The sequence below is a fragment of the Homo sapiens genome, chromosome 7, assembly GCF_000001405.40.
Source record: "Homo sapiens chromosome 7, GRCh38.p14 Primary Assembly".
NCBI lineage: Eukaryota > Metazoa > Chordata > Mammalia > Primates > Hominidae > Homo > Homo sapiens.
In genome coordinates, this window is record NC_000007.14 from 96,987,234 (window position 1) to 97,011,719 (window position 24,486).

The following is a 24,486-nucleotide window of genomic DNA, read 5'->3' on the forward strand; positions in this document are numbered from 1 at the left end:
AAAGCATTTGGGTAGCCTTGGTGTCAGTGTGATTTCGGCTGTCATCAAGACTGGCCCACTGAGGTTAAATGAAAATCAACTTCAATAGGAATAATGTGAAAGAGAATAGCATTTTTAACAAATTCAGATATCTTCATGTGTTCCTCCCAATCTACAAATTTTGAAGAAAGCTGGGTGGCAGCTACAACTTCGTAAGTAGCCTCCTGTGATATGTTGATGTTACCACAGCAAATTGGGAAATGAGGGGAAGGATGTGTGTTTAGCACAAATGCTTATGATCATGTGCACATCACTTGTGTTGAGAATGTAGCTCAGCTATATTAACTAGACTAACTGATTAACTATATTTATATATATGGGATATGGGCTGAAAAGCACTATAAAATTTATCTGCATGTGTATATGCAAGCAGAGAGAAATGCTGTATTATCTGTATAAATATCAGGTAGCATAAAATAAAATACCCCTGCAGTTGTTTGTTTAGGGACACATTTGGATTGAGTGAGCATTATAACAATCATCTCTTTCAGAGGCACAAAAACATCACACTTTTTAGTTTTAATAAAGTCTAGTTTTTGGCAGTTCTTTTATCACACCTGTCATCTCCTAAGCTTTGCTTAGCCAAAGCACTCAGACTTGAATTTTTGAAATTGTCAATAAAGGCTTTCTAATCTTTAAGTCTTAAATTATCTAAGCAGATTAACTACCATTATTCTATGCTTACAGGACTCCAGGGTAAAAGACAGCAGAGAAAATACAACTTTTTTTTTTTTTTTTAGGCAATTAAGTCCCTGTGGAGGTTGTGTTTGGGGCATGTATTTGGAATATGGTCCAATGTGTTTATGTAAATAACCAAATAGACATGGTGAGTACATTAATTCCAGTATCTAGATTTATAAGACAGCTCTAAGAAGCTTAATTGTCCCACTTTTAAATTACAAGTTATTCTTAGTTCATATTGGCAATTCTCCAGTTTGCAAGCAATGAATGTCCTGAAGCCAAGGGAGATATCTTGAAGGAAAAAAATAAATAAAAAGAAAAAAAGAAAGCTCATTTTCACAGCAGCGCCTATCTCTGTGGTGACCTGATTTCTGCTATGATCTCCTTTCTGAGATCAAAGCAGGATTAATGTGATTCTTTACTGTTTGCATTGCACATCTCAAAGCTCTGGAGACTTAAGAAATAAGTACAAATGCAGCCCTTGAACAGAGGGGAAACTGAACTTGAGTGGGGTGGGTTAATAGCACGAAATAGCACGAGGGACAGCTAACTATGAAAAGTTATTTGGGATTTGGAAGGCAATACAGAATTTAGAGTATTTTGTAAGCACTGTTGCTTTCTCTTTTCTCATTTTCTGGGGCAGTCTTTCGGTTGGTTGATGAGGCCAGCACTGAATGTCATCTTATTAATAGTCTCCATAATGACCTTTTAGCTCATTTGGAATGTTTTGCAGCTGCTAGTATGCATGAAAAGGGAAGGGAAGCCTGCTGCATGTTTTCACAAGAAAGCACTTTCACATTGCTACAACCAGGCATTTATAAGGAGGATTTAAAAGACGGGAAAATCTTTTAAAATATCAAAATGTTGAGCTTTTGTGTTTCCACTGCATGTTACATTACTGGATACTGGAACTCCTAAAGGGTGAGTGTTTCGGCAGCCTTTCAGAATTGCTTGCTCTTTTGTTGAAGAAAAGGCAAGTCCCATATTCCTGGGATCTCAGAAGGCGAAAAGAAAATCGCTTTTATTCTTAATGCTTAGTGTACACACTACTTGGGAAGGGAGAAGCTCACCTCCTCCAAAAACGTGACTGTGATTTTACCTGCATTACCTAGAAGAGGGCACGCCACAGTGTAGCCCAATTTGCAATTTTATTTGGACTCAGTACTCTATGGGAGAACAGGATCGCGGGGCTGGGGGTGAAGGTTTTCTCAGCCTGGAATGTGACACCACGGTTTCCACTCTCGGCTTATACAATTCCACCCAAAGCTCAACTTTTCCACAACTCTGCAAGCCTAGCCACACAAAGACATCCATACAACAAGAAGTCCCAACACCTGCAGCCCATTCAACCAGCTGAGCCCTGCTTTTTCACAGGGTACAGAATTTCTCGGACAACTTCTTCATGTTCCCTCTTCCAAGTTCTTTTAGGTTAGCACTCGCCCTGTCTTTTCTCTCACCATTTCCTCCCCCTTCCTCTCCTGCCCTGGCTGGAGGCCACACTCTAAACCTGTCCTCGCTACTCGGCCAAAGCCCAGGAGGTGACCTGAGATGAAGGTAGTGCAGGGTAGAACAGGGAGAGAGTTCTCTACACGACCGCACACCAGGGGACCGGGGGTCCTTGCTGCGTAACCCCTGCCTTGGCACCCAAAGAAATTCCACCTACTTTTTCTTAACGTCCCTTATACCAGTCCCGCGTGGAGCCAGAAGATGCGGGGAGCTTGGAGTCAGGCTCTTTCTAGGGAGTTGGGAAGGGGGTCCCACGTGCTGGAGCGCCGGCAGCCGCAACCCAGCACCTACACCTTCGCCTCTGCGGTCCTGGCGGCGCCGGCCTCCCACTGCCCACCCCAAGCTCCTACCTGAAGGGGAAATTCACCCGAAGAACCTTGTGAGTTGCCTCAACTGGAAAAGGAGTTGGGTCCAGAACACAATTCTCAGGGCCAAGAATAGGGGAGACAGAATCTCAGTACCTAAATACTCTATGCTCGCCCCCTAACTGTTTTCACCACAACAAACAAGCAAATTGGACTTTCTTGGGCCGTTTCCTTGCATTATTTAGCTTCATCTGACGGTGTCAACTGTTTTCTCATTATTATGCTGAATTTCTTAACAAGGAAATTTTCAGCTGAACTAAGATTGTTTGGAATCCATAACAAGGATTGTTCGGAATCTGTAACTAGGAATTGTGGCTGTCTGGAAGAAGTCGCCTGAACATTCTATTGGAGAAGTTCGGAACATCAATAACAACTCACCCTCTGCCTTTCTCTTTCTAATTTTATACTATTATTGTCTGTGCAGCCCTGGTTTGCCCAGCGGTGTCCTATCACGGGGAAACAGTCATGTAGCTAAAATCATAGTAGTGAGGGACCCATGATTCGTTTAAAAAATGTGAAGTTTTAAAATGTTGGATTTTTTTGAAGCTTGAACTACTATCTGAAATCTCGAATACAATTAGTCGTTGCGTCTTAAAGGCCTTTATATCATTGAAAATTTCCTAACAGCCTGTATAACTTTGAAACAAAACGTTAGTGTTATAATTCAATAAAAGTTATTTAATTATTAAAACACAGTGAGGGCCTCGTAAGTTTTATAGCTTCTGTCAAGACATTGCTAATGTGTGTATGTGCGTGTGTACATATATATGTACACACATATATATGTACACACACACACACACACACATATATATACATATACATATATATGTCAAGGAAGAAGCAAACCCAGATTTTAGGGTTGGATCTTTATTTAATATGTAATATCTATGAGGTATCCAAGTCCAGAAATCAACTCACCAGTTCTGTACAGGATTCTGTATGGAGATCAAATCTGGGATTTCTAAAGTTAAGAATTCAGGCCTTGGAAATGGATTAGATTAGATCTACCTGAGCTTATTTTAAAAAGAAAGAGAGGGAGGGAGAGAGAGAGAGACAGGGAGAGAAAAGAGAGACAGACAGACAGAATATACATATACATATATATAGAGAGAGAGAGAGAGAGAGAAATAGAGTATGTGTGTTATAGGCTGTTTTTTTTAAGATCTCATTTTTAAATGTCCTGTTTTGGATGTGATCCCTTGAGTTCAATACATGATCTTTTTCAACTTGCAAAGAATCTAAGTTTTGAGGAAGGGAAGCACAGGCTTCAGCCTCTATTTCATATTTTTAAAGTCACAGCACACCAACTCTTATATTTCCTAACTTAGAAACAAAACTTAAAAGGTAAATTTGGAAAATTAACTTAAAAGAGACACATAATAGAGGATAACTTATCTATATCTATCTGTATATCTATATATCTTTACAGAAATAAATGTTTTTAAATTAGTAAAGATCTAAGGGTAATTAAATTATATAGTATCCTGAAATACATAACATGGGAGGAGGGCCTTAAAAATTATTCCATCTAGCAATACTTGTATATACACAACTAGTAAGAAGTCCATAACTATCAATAGCCAGCAGTGCTTGCAAATTATATTGAATTGAAACGCTACTGAAAGAGTTTATCTTTCATTGTAGTTTGGAATTGTGTGAAGGTATGTTATGTACATGATCTATGTATATATAATTCTTATACTTTATATATATTTAGACATGCACTTCTTTTTAAATGTTTATGTGGTTAGTCACTTTAAGAGCATCAAAATAAATTGTGCGTTGGCTTACACTATCTCCCAGATATTCACAAACACTGATGAACAAAAATCTTTATATAGGAAATGAAGAGCTACCCATTTAAAGAAAAGAATGGAAAGGGGAACTCGATTTATTCTCATTTGTTTATCGCCAGATTTCCCCCCACCCCCCTGCAAATTCATTTGAATAGCTTTCAAGCCGGAAAATGGAAATGTGGCTCCTGCCCTCTATTTCAGCGGCAGCAGCAGCGTCCTGGCAACAGCGCAATTTTCTATCATCAAGGATAAATGGCATCGAACAGAACATTCTGATAAAAAAAAAAAAAAAGAAAGAAAAAGAAAGAAAGAAAGAAAAAAAGCTTCAGCCCAAGGAGCCCATGATTGCTGGCCTTCCTGTCTGTCATCCCTTTACAAAATCCTCTCCGCAAACCTGAGCGGCATGCTGTCAGAGCTAATAACGTCTTCTGAAGGGGCTGGGGGGCGGGGGGAGCACAGTCTTCCCTGCACAATGTTCCCATTTATTAAATCGAGTGCTTATTTTAAAATTGCAAATATCTTTGTTTGGTTCACTGAAAATTAAAACCAAGATGTAGGAAGCTACATGATGCGACAATTATTCGTGTCATATCAGAGAATCAAACCCCTATCTCTCCCTTCTCCTGGTTAAGGCTGGATGAGGGGGAAGGGGGAGTTTGGGGGTATTCGGGACAGGAGGTTTCTGGTGGAAAAATACAAATCGGTTCGCCCTGCAGGTAAGCTGAGAGTAACTGAAAGCCGGAGCAGCGATGCCTGTTTCTACCAGGAAGAAAGAGCTAACTGTGATTCCAGGAGCGCGTGTGGGCGCGGTCCTCGCCGCGACGCCGCGCGCGGGTCAGGCTCAACTGCGAACCTTGCCACCGAGCTTTCCCGCGGGAGGCTTCGAATATAACCTTGCCTATTTCTCGCCTACTGAGATTTCTTTCCAGAAAAGGACATTCTCCTGCTCCGAGGAGATGGATCCCTGAGGTCCCCATGCCCGCACAGGGTGTCCTGGAGGAGTTTAGAGGACACTCCTGGGGCCCTTCCCTGTGTAGTACGCTTATTCCCGAGGTGGGGGCTGAGAATCGAAGAGCAGCGCCCCCCACACTGGGATTGGGGGTGGTCGAGGGGCTACAGATGCCCGCATTGGGCTTCTTAGCGGCCTAGGCTGATGCCTGGAGGTAGGGGGGATTGGGTTTGGCTGGCGACTAGCTTTAATGCCCATCGAGTTCCTGGGACACCCAAGTTCAGCACTTCTGCATGAAACCGAAACGGCCAGGGAGGGGCGGAGTGGGCCGAGGCTGAGGGAGCGGCGGTGTTGACGCCCTCTTCCCACCCAGGATCGATCGATCGGTAGGGAATTTTTTATCTTTGGGAAGGAGAGGTGAGGAAGCGGACCTAAAACGAGGGGAAAATTCGAATTTAATATCCTGTATAGGAGGTCAAAAGAAAAAAAATGATGGCGAGGAATGCAGAGGGCCCTAAATGGACCCTAAGATGAAGTACGGGTGGTGGCTGGAGAGCTGGGACTGGAAGGTGGGGCTGGGGGAGACGGGTAAGCAGCTTGCTTTGGTGAGGAGCTCCCACGCTGAGAACGGTGGGAGGAGGGAATGATGGGGAAACCTTTGTTTAATGAGGAAACCTAATTATTGCGCATCTGGAAGTCTTAGTCCCTACTACCAGACGAAGGCGGGTACCTGAGGGATGCAGTGCGCATGCCCGAGCCGTCGGATTTGCATGATAAGGCTCGCACGTGAGCCAACTCCGGCGCAGCCCAGGCTGTGCCGCGGCCGGCCGCCAATGGAATCTTGCTCCTACTGCGCCTCCAGGTCACATTGACATCTCGGTTTCCCCACAATAGGCCTTTAAAACCCACTTTAAAAATAAAAAAGTGTTTTAGTATTGATTCTCGCCTAGACACGGAAGATGTCTGTAGGAAACTGACACGGTTTAGAACTACAACTACATTACTACAAGCAAGGGTTAAAGTATTCAGAATTTAAGAAAAAGTTAGAAGGCCGGAGAGAGGGGGCTGTTTAAAGAGCTCTGGCGGGAAGTCAAGGAATCCTGGGACTGCTGCCTTCGGAGCCCTGAGGCTAGGGCCAAAGCTGAATCTCTCTGAGCCTTACCTGTCACATGAAAATCACACCTACTTCATTAACCAGAGGAGCCTCAAAAGCAGAAACATTACCTGTGCAGGCCTGGCTTGAGAAAGCAACCCAAACTGAGAAAGCAACCCAAACCCACCCTTTCTCCACCTCATCCCCAGCCACACCTGGTGGCCAGGGAGATGGAAACTAGAACACCTGTATTCCATCTCTCTCCCTTTCCCAGACACCAAAGTGGTCTGTGGGGTGAGGGCCATGTGTTAGCTCCCTCCTCTGTGAAATGCTGCTAATTTTAGAAGGGCAGAAAAGAGAAAGGTAGAGAAGTGGCATGAATCACCACCATGGCTAGGCCTCTTGTCTCCACCCATGCTCTGAGGCTGGAAAGATGAGATTCTCTGGGGCTATAGAAAGGGTGGGCCAGCTGGGAACTATTACCCATCCTGCCCCTTCTGCACACCAAGGCTGCTCCCTGCCCTTCCTGAAGCACCATTCTGACTGTTACCAACCAACCACCTTGTATTCTTCTCACTATATATTCCTGCCAGAATTGCTGCCTACACATGGGCCTCCAGCGTCCCTAAGAGTGCTCATACCCTGTGACAAGAAAACCATTTGTTCTTACTGAAATAAAACATGTGGGGATTGTCATTTGCAGTTCCTCTCCCCTTTTGTGTAATTCACAAGTCTCTGATGTAGGATTAGGCTTCAAATGCATTTGGTCAAGTACATACATTTTAGTACTCAGCTTAAACAATGTCATGCTTAAAAGCACCTCAGCAATGCCTCTGTTTGTCTCTAGGTCTTTGTCACCCTCCAGGCCTATGATTATAACATGGCTTTTTGTTTCTTTTTTGAGAATGTGAACCAGAGCCCCACCCCAGCCCTCCAAAATGCAAGACACTAAAAAGTGACCTCAAGGTCTTACCTGCTCATCTAAAATCAATATTATTTGACCAATGAGTATTATGTCACATATCGTGTAAGCATATAGCTTCCAATAGCCACGTCTATTTTCAAATAAGGAGATACCTACCGAACCTTCAGAAATGCCAGCTGGTAGTTTCTGTATAGAACAACAAACTTTCTCACAATAGTGTTTTCGGATTGTCTTTGAAAAAGGTAAGCTTTCTCTAAACTGGCCCAATAAAATCAAAAGAGTGTTGGCTTCAATTATATAAGGCTGCAAAATGAGATAGCCATGTTGTCTAAAATACTTCTTGAACACTTTGGATTTCAGAACACTTTTTCTTATAATAGACTTCTCTTTGTGCTTTAAGGAATAGGATAATGGTGTGTTTGAAAGGAAATATAGACCATAAAAAAGTCCATTAGCCAATCAATAATTGTCACAATCCTCAATTAAAGCAAAATTATCTTTCCTTGTCCTATAAGTGGCTGGAATAAACAAAGAAATTTTTCTTCTTGACCATTTTAGGTAAAATTGAACGAACATAAGTCTCAAATTCATGTCCTGGTCTCTTCCTAAGGCAGGTTTCAGATCATCCATAAGGCTAACTTTGATGACAACTCTCTGTCATCTCTGAAGAAGGAAAGATCAGCAGGCTGGGGGGTCTAGAGAGGGACACTGCAGTGTGGGCTCTGGACAGTGACCAGGAACCCATCATTGGCCACAACTTCAGGCTCTGGAGCTGCTGTTCACAGGCATCTTCAACTCCCACCTAGACTGCCCTGCAAAGTCTCTTTGTCTCACATTTGTGCTGACTTCCCATTGGCTCCTTCTCATTCCCCACTGTCACGGCTGGCCCTCAGCACCCTATGCCAGCAAGGCTAGTTGATTAAAAAACTATATACATATATTCACACACTGAGCTGGGAGCATTTCCTTCCCATGTAGCAAAGCCCCTCTGATTTAAGACTGGTCAAATTAATAGGAAACAGCAAAGGAGGTTAAAGAGGGAAATTATTGAGGACAATGACTGCAGACATGCAGTCTACAGTGCAGAGTCTGCCTTTTCCTGAGGATTCAGAGCTGTGCCCACAAATCAGATGGGCGGAACAATCCCCCATCCCACCCCCCATGTTTGGGGTCATTAGAATTAGAGGTAGCTTCAGGGGATTCCCTTTCCTCTAGCATGGGTCAGCCAGGAGGCAAGAAGGAGGCTAGGAGGCTGGGGACCCTCATCAGTCCCACTAAGCCTCCAGAAGGTATCTTTTCCATCTGCCCCTACTTGCTCCCCCAGTGGGTCCCGCGTGCCTAGCCCCCACACCCCCGCCTTGCGGGAGTTATTTTAATGACACTAAATGTGCTCCAGGAAGCTTTCCCCTCTCTCCCTCTCTCTCCCTCTCCCCCTCCCTCCCTCCCTCTCTCTCTCTCTCTCTCTCTCTCTGTCTCTCTTCCTCTCCTACTCTCTCCCTCTCTCTCCTGGGATCTCTCTCTCTCTCTCTCTCTGTCTCTCTTCCTCTCCTACTCTCTCCCTCTCTCTCCTGGGAGCTAACCCAAGCCTGTGCACCGGAGGGCAGCTGACAGCTGAGCGTGGCGGGGGCGGGGTTGGGGGTGGGGAGGTGGCGGCTGTTCCAAGCGCAGGATTCTGGAGTCCACCGGCGCTTGGGCAGGTAGCAAGCAGAGCTAGCTGCACGTTGCCCCGGCCGGCGTTTTCAAACAACTTGAATTACAGGCTACATCTTGAATATGAATTAGCCTTCCGCACTGGTGTGAATTCGCTTTGAAACTCAACTTGTCAAGTATGGTTTTAATTAAACATCTTCCGGCCTCGAAAGATTACATGTTTTGTAAAATATATTCTAGCATGAAATTTACTTCCACGATCTGAAATTAGTTTTTTGGTAAATGTTTTCATAAAAAAGAAATACGAGGTGTGTGTGTGTGTGTGTGTGTGTGTGTGTGTGTCAGAGAGAGAGAAGAGAAGGGGGGTATGAAGTAGTTTATATTCACTGCCTTCCTTTAAAACGTCCTACCAGCTGGACTTGGAGCCTGACAGGTCCCGGGTCCCAGGTCCCAGGCAGCCCCGGCCGGGGCAGGGCCAAGACCGCGTGCCCAGGACAAGTAAGTAACTCAAACCCGACCCGGCAAGCGTGGCCCAAGCTGCTTTTGCAGTTGGGGACAATTGAGCGGACACACAAGTTAATCCCGCACTGATTTGTTTCGGATCCATCTGCAGGACGCCTGATGCCTCCCCCTTGGCTGCTGCAGCGGACACCTGCCTCCCTCCCCATCCCAGACTGCTCTGCTTGTCCCATGAAAGCAGAGAAAAGAAACCATAGGGTGCGGAACGGACCTCAGTAGTATTCAAGACAACACTTCACCGTGAAATGTAAAGTTCTCCTTTAAGAATTCCTGCCTAATATTGAGAACAACAGCCATGTCAATTGATAGCCGTTCTAACAGACAGTCCGAACTGCTCCAAACCACTCTAAAAGCTTGCCTTGATGGAGAAGGGGCCTCTGGGGCCTCTCTATCACCTGCCTGGGGGCCTCTATTTCCCAAGTAGCCCTCAAAGAAAAAAGACCCTATGCTCCCGCGTAGGGGTAGGAAAAGTGCCTGCTATGATGGGTCTTTCTATTCAATACAGAATTAAGAGTTGGGTCCCTGTGGAATTCTCTTCCTAACTACTCTCTGAGGAACCAGCCAATTCTGACGGGATTTGCTGGATTCGAGCAAAACTTGGCGCACATGGGGTGGGGTGTGATGGGGAGCAGGAGGGAGGGGGGCGCATCTCCTTTCTTCCAGATAATTGGGACCCAGCAAAGAAGGAGGGGTGGAGCGGTAGGGAGAGTTATTTGCGGTCATCAACTGAAATAGGCAAAACCAATAACGCACCTCGCTTTTCGCCCTGTTTACTCCATCCCCATTCAGTGATTGGCAAAGCAGGCCCTGAAGGCAAAGGCAATAATTGCTCCGCGCTCTCCTTACTAGGGAAATGTGTAGGCATTTGAAGTGTACTAAAAATAAACGAAGGAGCGAGAAAATGAAAAGGGGACAGAGTGACAATTTGCGGCAATTAAAGCGTCTGCGCGCTGTTGCCGGAGGAACAGGGACCCACAGCGGTTTTTGTTTTCCCAGGCTTGATGATGTGACTAACTCGTTAGAGAATTTGCGTCCTAGGTTGTGTGTGTGTGTGTACTTGCGTGTGTGTGTGTACACGCGCGTGAGCATTCAGCAACCCAGGAGCCCACAGCAATGGCCGGATCCGTGGGGGAGGAGAGAGCCTAGAACCCTAAAAACTCCTTTGGCCTCCAGAAAGACCCCGGTGCAGCTCTCTACCCTAACCCCTAAGCCCCTCTCAAGTGAGAGCCTCTCAGTTAGTACTCAGTTGCCACGTCTCGCAGGAACTTTGGAGCAAGTTTTCAGCTCCCAGGTGTCCAACCTTTAAAAGGAAAAGCATAATAATACTAACCTTTCTTTCACGACCACGCGAAACGCAAAGGATGTGGAGTGGGGAGGGGAGGAAAAAAAAAGGGGCGGCCAGCCAAATCAAAGCTTGGGAGACATTTTGACAGTGCGCTTGAAATAATGCTCTTAATTTTTGGAAGGTTTTCAAGAAGGGGGTGGGGGGCACGTGGGAGAACCACAACTTTCTCCTGTCTGTCACTCAAGCGGCCAGAGAGGGCTCCAACCTCCAGCTCCCGCGGCAACACACAGTGGGAAATTGCTTCAAGATACAGTGGGGCTCTATTCTTTCTCTACCCCTGCCCCGCCTTTCCCGAGCAGTGAACTTCACAGAGAGGGTGGTAAGGGAGGGTTATCCTGGGTGTCAAAAATCTGTGCATAGCCTGAGATCAGAAGAGTTAACCCCAGGCCCTAGACCCAGCCCAGCGGCCAAACTGGCACCCCGTGCTGATCAGCCCCCGCATCCCCATATCTGCATCCCCATATCTACCTCCCCAGTCGGGGGTGGTGAGGTTTGGGGGAGGGGGGCGACACTACCATATGCATCCACCACCTAAGTCCAGCCCAGGCTGGCTTCAATGAAAGCTGGCAAATCCGGCGAATCTCGCAGAAATTTTCTTCGAACTTAATTCAATTTTAAAGTGGATTTTTACTATTAAAAACGCTGCCGAGCAACACATTGAATTAATCTGACTGTACGGTTTTAATTACAGTGAGGGTTTCTCTACAAATCTGTACAAGACAGTGGCTGGTTCTTGGAGGATCTCTGCCTCCTGAATTCCATTATCGGGCCCCTGGTTCCCTGCAGACGGCAGCTCGTGGGAGCCAGCTGCGGTGCGAGCGTTCAGTCGCCCTCTGCTTCTGCCGGGCCTCCTGGCTCCTGTCCCTCCTCCCTTCCTTCATCCCAGCCCCATGGAGAGCCCAGGATTCCTGCCTGTCATTTGAGACTGCTGAACTGATATCCTGAAACGCTACCCTTGCTTTTTAAACTCTTGGGCCCCAGACTTTTGAGCCCCCTGAGCATCGTTCTTAAAGTGGCTCGTTTTGTCTGGGAGGGTGACCTCTTGTGTAGTGTTTTTTGAAGGGTTCTCCTGCTTCGACTTAGCAGCTGTTAGAGTGGGCAGCGTGATGCCCAGTCTGTCTGAGGGGAAAGCAGGTTAGGAAATGGGGAGGAGAAAGGGGTAGAAGACTAGTGAAGAGCTTGGTTTGGGGGAGTCTAGGCCCCCCACCTCCAGCCCTACCCCCACCCCCATCTCCACCTCCTGGCCCTAGAGGAAATATACATGGCGTAGATCTGCAGGTAACAGGGCTGCTTTTATCAGCTCTCATTTTGTTCATTTGTTGTGCAATTAGCATTGTAGGGCAATGGTACCTAGCAAACAGGACCAGGTAGAAAACTTAAACACAAAAGGAAGCCGACTCATACTCAAACTCTTTTGTCCACTCTCTTATATTCTTTTTCTAACTCTCTTTCTATGTCCCCTGCTTTTGTCCCATTCTCTCCTTCCCTCCGCACAAAGTATGTGCGAGTAAAGACAGTGAATCCAAATATGAACCAGCAAAATGGACGCAACCTCTCAATGTGTATTTAAAGAATTGGAGGCTTTGAGCTCTGTCGGGGAAGGGCCCCACTCAGCAGAGTGCAAGGGATGAGGAGCATTTTGGCTCTCTGCACAAAATTTGTAAAACCTGCCAGGAAAAAAAAAAACCAGTAATTATTCCATTCCCAGGGTAGTGGGAAGGGGGCTCTCTTTCTCCTAGATGCGTGTGTGTGTGTGTGCGCGCGCGCGCGCGCGCTTTAAAGGAGTCTCTTTTCTGAACAAGAAAAAAGAGAGAAAGAAAGAGAGAGAGAATGAATGGGCACAGTTGGGAGAATGGAATGTGAAAAAACAAAAACAACCTTAGCTTCTAAGGGCATTCAAATTTGTTGCCCTCTAAAAAAGTTTTACTAAAAAGCTAATAAATTACATTTCCATTTATTGGGATATTCCCAAATAAAGGAGATAAGGAGTATTTATGAACAGGTATGAGTATAAAAGTCACCAGTTCATATATATCACAAGAGTAGACAGATACAGAACAAACTCACCCTCTCTCTTTCTCATGAAAAACGGTTTTCATTTATTTTTCTGTTATAACAAGAGGACCAACATGATAGCAAGGGGATGTTTTCATCCCAGGTTTTCCTGAAGAGTTGTCCCAAGCAGGGCTGTCCTTTAATGTTAGGCATTTTCTGTGACCTTGCTATTGTTACTGCTGATGAAGCGATGAAGGAATTAAACAGAAGATGCTTGGAGGCATTTAGGAAGACAGCTATATTAACTCCTTATTATGCCTAAAAATAGTCTACTGTTTCCTGTTGATACTTGTTCCCTACCACTATAAGGCTGTATTTATCCTCCAATGGTCAGGGGTCCCTGCTTTCCAAAGACTGGCTTGCTTAAAGCTGACTTCTAACACCCCCTCCCTTCTCCCTTTGCTCTGATATATTTCCCATCAGGGCAAATATGGAGAGCTCAACCTTAGCATAGCCTACAGATTGAAAAGACAGACATCAGCATTTAACTTGTTTTATTCTAAGTGTTTAAACATTGTTGAGTCCTTTTTTTCCTGGGCTTAGAGAAAGAGGAGTGTTTTTGTATTAGGAGTGGGGTCCTATGCTTGTTAAAAGAGAAAAAAGAGAGAGGATTTGAGGGGAGAGGGCAGACAAGCAGACCGACCTCTGTATACAATCCTAAAATTAGGGAAGGTAGAAACATGCGCTGCTTTTCCCCTAAATCAATTCTGGGCACAGCACATCAGCTCCCTCTATTAAGAAAGCCTTGGGTGCTCACACACTTGGGAATGGAGTCATGGAGAAGGCAAATGATGTTTAGTTTGAGAAGCTGGTTAGCTTTGTTTTCATAATTCCACTGGACTCCAAGTTTGAAAATGCCTGGAGCAGGAGCCTGTAGGTTGGGACATGCATAGTTAACATTCTCCAAATTGGACAGTCTTGAAAAACTCTGTGAAGCCCCCTGTGGGAGCCAGTGTCATGTCAGAGTTTTCTAACTGGCTATTCTTGGGACCTATGACTAGAGAGATGAGGAAAATGTTATCCCCAAACTTAAGTGAGACTCTTTCTAAACATGGGGTAAACTGAGGCCACTTTTTAACTGGATTTGGGGGCATCTAAGAGAGAAGGGTGTTAATATGGACAATACAGCTTATCACCACAGACAAGAACACCAATGTTTCCTTGTATAGACTGATACTTTTGCAACTCCTGAAGATGCCATCACTGGCAAGAGGCAGCTCCCATGTGCCCCAGAGCTTTCACTGTTGTCTGTGTGTTGGGGGAGGGGAGAAAGTCGTGCGGGTTACCAGGATATCAGGCACCCTTTCCTTACATACATACACAAACAGAGTTTTACAGTATATTGAATGAGGAAAAGACTAGCAAGTTTTTTTTTTCTTCACCAATGTCTCCCGTTGAGAAGGGGCTATGTAAGTCAATACTGAGTAATTTCTTTGAATTCAAAGGCTATTTATCCAGGTCTAATTTCTTTAGAATTAAAGTGATAACTGAGCTCAACTTAGCAACCAAACCCATCCAGGTCCTGCCTGGTTTGAATGTACTTCTACAGCCCGTGAGGCTGCAAAACCACTTCGGGCACCCCAAAGCATTTCCAGGCCTACATGCGTGAGCAAACACCGGTCCAGACCAGGAACAGCAGGAGATTCTTTGACCCAAGAGCCCATTCCTCCAACAGTGGCCTCCGGCAGACCCGGGAGGTCTTGTGTTGGCAATACACAAGCATTTCTCTCTAAATAACATTGACACTCGCAATACAAATTCCAACATCTCAACACCTTAAAAAGCAAAAAGCAGCTTAGGCCTCAAATCCTGCCTAGTGAATATGACCCTCACTTACTACAAGCCCTAAAAGAGCCTTAGGGCTCCTACTCCAGATTGCAGGGTTTACTTTTATTTTGAATGATAAAGACTTCGAGGGCCTTGCCCGCCCTCCTCCTCCCACCCGCAAGGGTTGGCCCGCGTTCCCCTGCGGGCGAGACAAAGAAGCAGGAGCCAGGACCCGGCTGGCGCCTAACCCGGCGCCGGGGCCTTGAGCCCCTGAGGTGTGCGCCTTCCTGCAAGGCCCCAAAGAACCCGAGTTTTTGCCCCTTGCTGAAGGGTTGGAAGTGCGGGCTGGACTAGTGCAAACAAGAGTGACTCCAACCGCCTTACTTCAGCTCATTACCGTCACCCATGAAAACGGAATGAAGGACTGGGAAGCCAATCTGCCGCGTTCAATTGGAGAGAAATGACTGTCGGAAGAGGCCCTGCGGTAAATAGCCTCTGAGCCGCGAACTCTATGCGCCGTGGCCGGTGGCAGAGGCCACACCTGGCAGCCACTCGTGGCGCGCCACCTTGGCATGTTGTGTGCGGGTCACACTATCTCCAGTTTTCCATTCTCGATACTGGCAGGAAAGTCTGATAGTCAGGCCTGAAGTTTAGATTCCATCCCGCAAGCGCAGAGATATCACACCAAGTGGGACCTCTCGCTCGTTCCACTTCCCAGCCCCTGACTGTCTCTGAGCTCAGACTGGGTCGCCCAGCAGGTTTCAGCAGGACCTTTACCATGCACCACAACTACCACCTCAGTGCAGCTGCTTCACTGGAACAGAGTGCAAGGATTTTAGCCACTAACTATTAGGGGAAGGTTGAGAGCCCTGAAGCTACAACCCGGACAATCCCAGCCTTCCCGGCTTCCTCAGCAATCAAACAAATGAGAAAAAAAAATCCCCTTGCAAGTAGAGGCAGCTGCACTCTGGATACAGTGCTCAATTGCAGGGACCTTCCGAGGCCCTGCCACGACATACTCTAATTGGGGTGCAGCCAGAGTTGCAGGAAGCTGGCGAGGAAAGCGGTGCACCTGTGAGCATAAAGCGAAAAACATAGACAAGCACAGGGTGAGGGTGTAGGGGGTGAAACGCCTTCACGGTGTTAACAACAAGCTGCAGGGTATAAAGCAATAAAACTGCCACGTCTACCTGCTGGTATTGAGGACATTACAAACAGTCTCGGCGCGCAGCCCGCGTGTACCGAGAGCGCACTAGGGTTGGGAGTGGGAAGGTGGGGTGGGAAATCTTCTCTTTTCCTGACATTCCCTTCTGTCCCCCACCCCCCACATCTCCCCCTTACTTAGCCCACCTTTCTTTTTCCATGAAGCTTTTCTGTTGTTGTTTTAATTCATTGCCGATTTGTAAACGTGTAGATCGTGTTACTGGTTCGCGTGTTAAAGTGCACCTCTTGTTAAAAGGTGGGGAACAGGGCACGCCACTTAAAAATGAATTCAGAGTTACTGAACCGGCTCCCCAGACTCAAGAACTTAAGCGCAACGGGCTGGGAAAAGGAGGGGGAGAGGAGCGCAAACGCCGCTGACCTGGGAACTCGGAGGAAACTCGCGGGCAGCGAGCTTCAGGTCTTCTGATACATTGAAGGAAAGAAAGAAAGACAGAAAAAGAAAAAAACAAACTGTCCTGGAGATAGCTAGACATCCAGGGCTGGGAGCTGGGAAAATCAATTGGCATAAGCCGCTGCCGGCGGGCTTCGCGCAACGTAAAAAATAAAGTCCAAGCTGCTCCATCTGCAGCCACCCTTTTCTGGAGTTAAAGGGGCAAGCGGCACCTTTTCTCTATTTCTCAGTTTCCTTCGGTCCTGTAACTTATGGAGTCCAGAAGAAGTAGGATATACAGAAGTCCTCAGTAGTTTTCCCAAAGGGAGACACTGTCTCCTTCCCGCAACCTCCAGACACTGCAGTACAGGGTTGTTAGATATTAGATAGTACGTTTCTCCGTGTGGGCAAAGGCTCGCGGCTTAGGTCTCTAAGCAGATCGAAAGTCGGGGTCCAGACCGAGAGGATCTTCAGGTCTCGTCCACCCAATCTCAAGCCTCTGGAAGGGCGGGCTGCCGGCGACCTCCTCCAGTCCCGGGACCCGGAACCCGGGACCCTGGACGCCGGTGCGGGCGGGCCTGCCCTCCTCTGTGCCTGGCCCCCAGTCTGGCCCTCCTACCTGTTGACCAGGCCTGAACCACGCACCGGGGCTCCGCTGTCTCTGCTTGGCTGCCTTAACCTGCGTGGGTCTGGAGACCGGAGGGAGAAAGGCTAGATCCGCAGCCTTGGGCTGCTCCGAACTTAATGTCTTTCCCCAGTCCATCTTTGAAAGAGAAGTGGTTCTACCACCTGGATGTGCGGATATAAATCCCCTTGCAAATAATAAATGGATTAATAATAACAAGGTATGAAGTTCTTTTTATAGAAAAAAAGGAGAGAATTGAAACTAAATGCGGCAGTTAGACAACCATTTTGATAAGAGGATAATTGAGGCGACACTGGTGTATAATTAGAGGATAATTTATGCTATATCCACTTTTATTCCACCTCCCAAAATAAACCCAGTCCATAATCATTACAGGCAAATTGTTCTGAATTTTATAGCAGCAATTTGAACAAAGTACTGCAGTTAATCATGGGAGATTTTTGTGTATTCCTGATTAGAACTCTAATTGCCTCCTTCCAGAAAGTAAAAATAACTGTAAAACGACTCTATTTTTATCATTAACAATGTTGACAATAAAATAAAATCAATTGGAATTGTAATCGAGAGACAAATTTAGGACGAAGGCACTTTTACTTGGGTAGTTTATATTGTAATCAAGATTTGCCAAACCACTAACCGCATGTATCATTTGCATATATTTGAAAGCATTACAGTAGCTTCTGTTTTCAATAGGAAAAAATGCATTACTGTCAGTCCTCCAACGATTCGTTTTCAGAACACGCTGCTGCGTTCTGAAAAGAAAAAAAAGACGCCCCCCCCCCCCACAACCTTTTGTACAATATATAAGAAATACGGCCTGAAACGGCAGGGACCGAGCCAGAACAGGGTCTGATTTTTCTTTTTCTGTACCACCCCCCAGTGGGGTGGAGCCCAGGTGTGAGGGTTCGTCTTCCTTCTGTGGTTTCAATAAAATACGTCTAGAAAAATCCACGGTGACAAGGAGCTCCCACAAGAGTGTAGTAGGACCAGAGTGGCAGGGACGTCAAGAAAGGGGGGCCTGGATTTAATGCGGGGGTGGGGTCACTGCTTCTAAGCACAGGCAACCTACAAGGGTGCAAAGGGATTGAAAGAGAGCAGCCCCCAGTTGGCTGTTTCAAGGCTGAGATATTGGCAACTGGGGCTCCGGGATTTGGGGCACGAGCTGCGGCGGGAAGCATCGGCGGCCGGCCGGGCAGAGGCGCCTCCCTCCCCAACGGCCCCGGGCGCCACACAGCGCGGCCCCCGGCTGCAGCTCCGGCTGGGATTGGAACTGCGGAAGGTAGGCGAAGAACTCTGCAAGTCGCGCACACGCCAGTAGAAGCCGTGCGCCTGTGACGTCAGGGGGCGACTGACCAATGGGGAGGCACTGCCCTTTGGAGACAAACCATTCGACTCGTGGCGTCTGCATCAAGTCTGAAAGCAGACGCGCAACTTTCGCAGAATCCACCTTAAAATCTCTGCCTTAAACTGCACCAGCCCCCAAAAAATCCAAGGGGGGAAAGCAGGCGGGGGGAGAGCAGATTCCCCCCTCCCCCTCTCCTCTCCCATCCCTCCTCCTTCCTCCTCCCTTTGAGTTAACAAGGCCCCGCTCACTATATCTCTTTATATTAAATATATATATATATTAGAGAAGAGCGAGGGAGAGGGAGAACCACCTCCACCCCCCTCTTTAAATTCTTTTTTTTTTTTTTTTTTTTTTTTGCAAGGATCCAAAGAGCTAAGGTGGCTGCAGAGGGGAGAGCGGCGCGAGCCAAGTGGGGGAGGGTGGAGGAAACCCGGGAGAAGGCTTTCTCCAGCCCCCAAAGTTTTTGATGATGACCATGACTACGATGGCTGACGGCTTGGAAGGCCAGGACTCGTCCAAATCCGCCTTCATGGAGTTCGGGCAGCAGCAGCAGCAGCAGCAGCAACAGCAGCAGCAGCAGCAGCAGCAACAGCAACAGCCGCCGCCGCCGCCGCCGCCGCCGCCGCAGCCGCACTCGCAGCAGAGCTCCCCGGCCATGGCAGGCGCGCACTACCCTCTGCACTGCCTGCACTCGGCGGCGGCGGCGGCAGCGGCCGGCTCGCACCACCACCACCACCACCAGCACCACCACCACGGCTCGCCCTACGCGTCGGGCGGAGGGAACTCCTACAACCACCGCTCGCTCGCCGCCTACCCCTACATGAGCCACTCGCAGCACAGCCCTTACCTCCAGTCCTACCACAACAGCAGCGCAGCCGCCCAGACGCGAGGGGACGACACAGGTGAGAGGCCGCTGGGGCAGCTCGCTTCTCCCGCCTCCCGACTGCCCCCTACCCCGCCCGCCCGCTCACTTCCTCGACGCCCGGGCCTCCGCCGGCCCCCTCCCCCAGGCGGCCCCGCGCGCCCTTGGCCGGGCCCCGTGCGCGCCCGCTCGCCTGGCGCCTGCCTGCCGGCCTCTCCCAGCCGGGCCCCTTCCCGCCGCCGCGGACCCTCAGCTTCCGACGCGCAGTTCGGGCTGAGTCCCGGGCCCGGCGCAGGCTTCGTTCGACGAGTTAGTCCACACTGCGCTCTCCAGCCTCCTGGGTCTGTGCGCCCTTTTCCTTGCTCCTTCCCTCCAGGCTGTAACCCACGTTTGACCCGGCTGGGGACATTTCTGGGCCGGAACTGGGGAGCGTGTTTTGCTTCCCAGCCCACGCTGGGCAGGCAGTGGCCTACTTTGCGTGGGGCGCCCCGTGCTCCTCAGTGACTCGGAGGGAAGCTGGCCTGGCTTTCGCTCTGGTTAAACTAGTAACAGTCAGGCTCTTTCCAGTGGGCTTTAAAGTGTCCCTCACCTTCATCCCTGACCGGGCCCCCTATCTAGCTTTTCGCTACAGTGTTGGCTGCTCCTTTGTTCGTGGAGGGGAAGCAAAGAACCTCGGGCTGATGGTTCTCAGCACCCGAGGGGGACAAAGTTGCCGTGAGAGGCGCAGCCTGCTCGTGGGCTGGTCTGAGCTGTTGGTTGTGTTTTGTTTGAGGATTTGGTCCTCCTCAGGAGAGTCATTTCAAAACATGCCGAGGATGCTTGATGCACTGAGCTTGGAGCTGGTGACATCAAGTCAACTGGCCGCGTAAACACCTGGGTGGCTCAAGCACAGCTTCAGGTACTGTTAAGCCGGGCACAGGGGCCCCGCTCCGCCCGGACAGCTGCCGCCTTGCTGCGCTGCGCACCCCAGAGAGCCTCCGGCACCGCCTCCGCTGCGGCAAAGCGGGCTGTTTGTCTGAGGGCCTCTGGCGCTCCCTTGGCCCAGACGCTGCACATTGTTCGGGCCAGGGACTGGGTCAAGGAGATTACGCAGACGCTGGGAGCACACGGGCAGAGTGGACCAAGAGAGGTCGGGGCATCATAGGGATTTTTCGAGGTAACCCTTATTGGGCTTTGGGGAGACTCGTTGCATGCCACGCCAGGAGCAGGGAGATGGCAGCAGTAGCCTCCCGGGTGACCGCTCCTCTGTATTATTTGCTTACAGATCAACAAAAAACTACAGTGATTGAAAACGGGGAAATCAGGTTCAATGGAAAAGGGAAAAAGATTCGGAAGCCTCGGACCATTTATTCCAGCCTGCAGCTCCAGGCTTTAAACCATCGCTTTCAGCAGACACAGTATCTGGCCCTTCCAGAGAGAGCCGAACTGGCAGCTTCCTTAGGACTGACACAAACACAGGTAATTCCCGAGAAGCCCAAGTATCCCTGAAATGCTGGTACCGCTTGCAGATCGGGCAGGGAGCACATCAGGAGGAATTGTTGGCCTAGTCAACCAAGGATGGAAGGAGCTTAATGACAAATGCCTTTTGCTCCAGTTATGCACTTTCCTGGGACAACACAGTTTGGAATGAATGACCTGGTATTGAATACTGGATTGGATTTGCACATCCTCCCAACCCTCGGCGACCCCACCCCAGCCTAGAATCCTTTTGTGACCAAACTCATAATTCAATTGAGTGTTATTCCAGAGCAGAACAACATGAAAGAGAACAAACATTTAGGAGAAAAAGGTGTACAAGCCAGGAGGCAGAATAAGGTTCAACTTTTTTAAGGATCCTTTTGTAGGCCCTGGGAACTAATAAGGTTTTCAACCCATTGACACAGAAAGAAAACTTGTGAAATGAACTAAGAAAAAACAAAGTAGGCATAGGTTCCAATGAGGTTTAGTAAAGGCTCCAAAGTGCAATCTATTTATCCTAGGAGTGTCAAGGTGGGTTTTTCTGAAGATTTCCCTAAGCACGGTGGTTAAGTCATCTGGGTGACAGACTGATGTGGTCTGAGCTGCCTCCCTGGAGCACAGGACTTGGGTGCAGTGGCAGAGTTGGAGATCAAAGAGAAATGTTACCAAAATTGTAACAGGTGAAGCCACAGTTAAGTACAGTTACTGAAGTTCTCCCATCCTACTAATTTGAAAGCCATAGAAGGCATTTCAGATTTCACAAGAAGGAGCTTAGGTGAGTATATTAGGACCCTGGTCAAAAAGCCAGGCTGCAATCACCTGCAGTTTTTGTTGATTAATTTACCTACATGGAGTAAGTAGGCCTCATCTGATGTAGGTAATCTTCAGCAAGGGGACCTCAGGTTTTATGAGACTGTTGCTGCAGACTGATTGTGTGTTGACTTAAGACAGTTGTTCCTTAAGCTCTTTTTCAATTTAGCCTGTTTTCTCTTTCCATATTGCTATTCATAATATTTGGGGTTTGATATGAAGGGATTCCGGCTATTCAGTGACTTGTATGCGTCTTGAAAAAGTAGATTCTTATGGCTAGGGAATTTTAAAGGTAAAGGAAGCTGCACCATAAAATTTCCTTCTTCAAATAAAGTAGATCTGAAATGTTGGCCTAGATATGCTCCCATCCCAGATTCCCGATTCACGTTTAATTTTCAGAAGCCCTTTGACTTTTAATTACTATACTAACAATCATGTGATGATCCTTGACCACAGTTTGACTAGGCAACATACAAAATAGGGAATGAAGGAGCTGCAGTCCTTAATCCCTGCAAGGTTATGGGGATATATTTATGTCTGGAGAAAGATGCTTCATGTATAATCTATGGCATATGCAATATATGCATAGATATATTCAAGGCATTTAGTTATAAATGTACAGGCTTTAATTCCTTCAGTCATTTGCTCCTTGTACCTTTATAGAGATAACAGCTTTTGGGTATCTCTATGCATGTACACGGAGAAAATGACTGTGTAAAATAGTTATTTTACATAGACTAAATTTACATTACTAAATTTTATGTAAAATGACAAGACTTTCAGAGGAGGTGCATTCAATTGAATGGCTTTGATTTGAAAGGGCTGCTTTTAAAAATCCTTTAGGCTTTGGACCTGGTCATCTCATTCAGCTTTTTCTTATTTATACTGTTGTTTTAAACCTACGCTAGCACGCAATTCTAGAATTACAATAACTTTAGGTATCCAGGCAAGATACCTAGTATGTTGTAGGAAGTGGGACTGTAAGAGGCTAGAAAGAGGTGGAAGGAGGCGGGGACTTGGCTTGTAGGCGTTGGCGGTGGTTGTTTTTTGTTTTTTGTTTTTTTGCTTTTTTAATATTGCTTCTAAATCCCTGAGTGACGTTAGAGGCACTGGTTTGATGTTTATGGGCCTAATGATTGCTGCATTTCTTGCAGGTGAAGATATGGTTTCAGAACAAACGCTCTAAGTTTAAGAAACTGCTGAAGCAGGGCAGTAATCCTCATGAGAGCGACCCCCTCCAGGGCTCGGCGGCCCTGTCGCCACGCTCGCCAGCGCTGCCTCCAGTCTGGGACGTTTCTGCCTCGGCCAAGGGTGTCAGTATGCCCCCCAACAGCTACATGCCTGGCTATTCTCACTGGTACTCCTCTCCACACCAGGACACGATGCAGAGACCACAGATGATGTGAGTTGCCCAAGGGAACACCCTAGGGAAACGTCTGAACAAGGAAAAGAGGATCCGGGACCTGCTTGTATCTGCGAAAAGGAGCCAAAGGAGCAGGCTTAGGAGAGCTCATAAGTGTGGCAAGAAGCCGACTAGGCTCATTCTCTCTCCCTCTCTCTCTCTCTCCCTCTCCTTTCTTTTTACTTCTTCCTTTCCTCCATTCCTTCTTTCTTTCCTTTTCCTTTCTACCTTTCTTTTCTTTTTGCCTTTCACCTTTTTTCTCATTTACCTTCTCTCTTGAGCAACGTCAGTAATTGATCTTGCATCTCAGAGAGAGAGAAAGAGCATGTGTGAGAGAGAAACTGGTTTCTATGCCAGCACTCCTGAAACCCCTTACTGTAAGGATATTTTCTCTTACCCCTTGGGATCCAGGCTCTGAGTCTCTTCTCTTTGGGAGTATCCATCAAAATGACTTTTTTTAAAAACAGATTTTCCCCCAACCAGAAGAATCTGCACAAACTTGGCAGCGTTTTTACTTGTTTAATGAGTTTAAGACATTACATGGTGAAAGAGAAGCATTTTGGACTCCTGCATTTTTATTTACCATTCCCAGACTGACGAGAAAAAGAAAATTCCTCACATAACAGCCCTTCTCTAAAGAAAAAGGAAAAAGTGGCTGTAAGATTAGAACATTGCTACAAAGGGAATGCTGCATGTTTTATCAAAATGCAATGACCAGGAATGATGGTTGATTAAAAAAAAACAAAACAAAAACCACTCTTTCCCCACCCCACCCCCCCAAACCCTGAACTGGAATCAGGAAAGACGGAGGAAACAATCAAAATCACCATTCTATTGCTTTGACACCTTTACTAGGTGAATTGGTGGCATTCACAAAGCTAATAGGGACGTTTATATCAAGAAACATTTCTGTATATATTGTTGAATTTTAGTTGTACATATACTTTGTATGTTTTTGTCTTCTTTCATATATGGAGTAAAAGCCACAAAACGCTGAGTGTCTTGTATATTTCTCTCTCTGTGTGTCTCTGTCCCTCTCTTTCCTCCCTCCTCCCTCACTTCCCTTCCCCCCATTAAATTTTCTATCACCCTTAAAAAAATTCCTATTTCCTAATATGGGAAGTCATATGTATATATATGAACATCAAGTGCCTGCAAAGATGTCAGTTTGCACACTAGCCTTTGTCTTAGGTAGTTTAACATTAACCATGGATGTTCTTTCAACTTTCTTTACATATTACGTTTTTATTGTAATTTCTACACATTTACCTATGTTTTAAACATTAGAATGACCTATCCTCAAGTTAACTTCTAGACATCACAGTAGTTTCTAGTGCTGAAACTGAGTATTCTCCTTTCCCTTTTCCCAGCCAAAATAATACAGCCATATTTGTCTTTGTTTGGATGCAGTTTTTTAAAATATAGGAAAGAAAAAAATAGAGAGTAGAGTGCACAATTATGCCTACTTAATGTTTAAAACCCATTGCCAGCTAGCTAGGTAGGAAAATGCACTATGCTGGATGAAATACATCCTTCCGATCTTGGGGAAAGCACAGAAATAATGAAAATGAAAAGTCCTTTCGTCATACAAGCAGGAAGCCCCATACTGCGAGAATTAATGGCTACAGACCTGGGCATCCTTCAAATTATGAACCTTGAAACCACTGAGCCATTTA

At 46.9% G+C, this 24,486-nt stretch overlaps 1 protein-coding gene and 1 long non-coding RNA gene across 2 annotated transcripts in view, besides 6 other annotated features; one reads left to right on the top strand and one right to left on the bottom strand.

The window, feature by feature from the left end:
* Positions 1 to 24,486, bottom strand: part of DLX6-AS1 (DLX6 antisense RNA 1) — a 45,551-nt gene that overhangs the window by 18,719 nt on the left and 2,346 nt on the right. The window lies entirely within an intron of this gene.
* Positions 5,234 to 5,759: an enhancer, noted in NCBI's record as "H3K4me1 hESC enhancer chr7:96621779-96622304 (GRCh37/hg19 assembly coordinates)". NCBI's record gives its function as "activates a minimal SCP1, AML or CMV promoter by ChIP-STARR-seq in naive H9 embryonic stem cells {active_cell/tissue: H9 hESC(naive)}" and the evidence as "EXISTENCE:reporter gene assay evidence [ECO:0000049][PMID:30033119]".
* Positions 5,760 to 6,286: an enhancer, noted in NCBI's record as "H3K4me1 hESC enhancer chr7:96622305-96622831 (GRCh37/hg19 assembly coordinates)". NCBI's record gives its function as "activates a minimal SCP1, AML or CMV promoter by ChIP-STARR-seq in primed H9 embryonic stem cells {active_cell/tissue: H9 hESC(primed)}" and the evidence as "EXISTENCE:reporter gene assay evidence [ECO:0000049][PMID:30033119]".
* Positions 11,040 to 11,983: an enhancer, noted in NCBI's record as "H3K4me1 hESC enhancer chr7:96627585-96628528 (GRCh37/hg19 assembly coordinates)". NCBI's record gives its function as "activates a minimal SCP1, AML or CMV promoter by ChIP-STARR-seq in primed H9 embryonic stem cells {active_cell/tissue: H9 hESC(primed)}" and the evidence as "EXISTENCE:reporter gene assay evidence [ECO:0000049][PMID:30033119]".
* Positions 14,298 to 15,007: an enhancer, noted in NCBI's record as "NANOG-H3K27ac-H3K4me1 hESC enhancer chr7:96630843-96631552 (GRCh37/hg19 assembly coordinates)". NCBI's record gives its function as "activates a minimal SCP1, AML or CMV promoter by ChIP-STARR-seq in naive H9 embryonic stem cells {active_cell/tissue: H9 hESC(naive)}" and the evidence as "EXISTENCE:reporter gene assay evidence [ECO:0000049][PMID:30033119]".
* Positions 17,037 to 17,758: an enhancer, noted in NCBI's record as "VISTA enhancer hs298". NCBI's record gives its function as "enhancer in: midbrain (mesencephalon)[3/6]" and the evidence as "EXISTENCE:transgenic organism evidence [ECO:0001131][PMID:17130149]".
* On the top strand, positions 18,320 to 23,807 carry DLX6 (distal-less homeobox 6). The gene is made up of 3 exons (NM_005222.4): positions 18,320 to 19,180; positions 20,405 to 20,598; positions 22,563 to 23,807. The coding sequence occupies exons 1-3, from the start codon at positions 18,745 to 18,747 to the stop codon at positions 22,812 to 22,814; spliced, it is 882 nt and encodes a 293-aa protein (NP_005213.3). The 5' UTR covers positions 18,320 to 18,744; the 3' UTR covers positions 22,815 to 23,807.
* Positions 19,071 to 19,170: a silencer, noted in NCBI's record as "silent region_18385". NCBI's record gives its function as "represses an Ori minimal core promoter by ATAC-STARR-seq in GM12878 lymphoblastoid cells {active_cell/tissue: GM12878}" and the evidence as "EXISTENCE:reporter gene assay evidence [ECO:0000049][PMID:35858748]".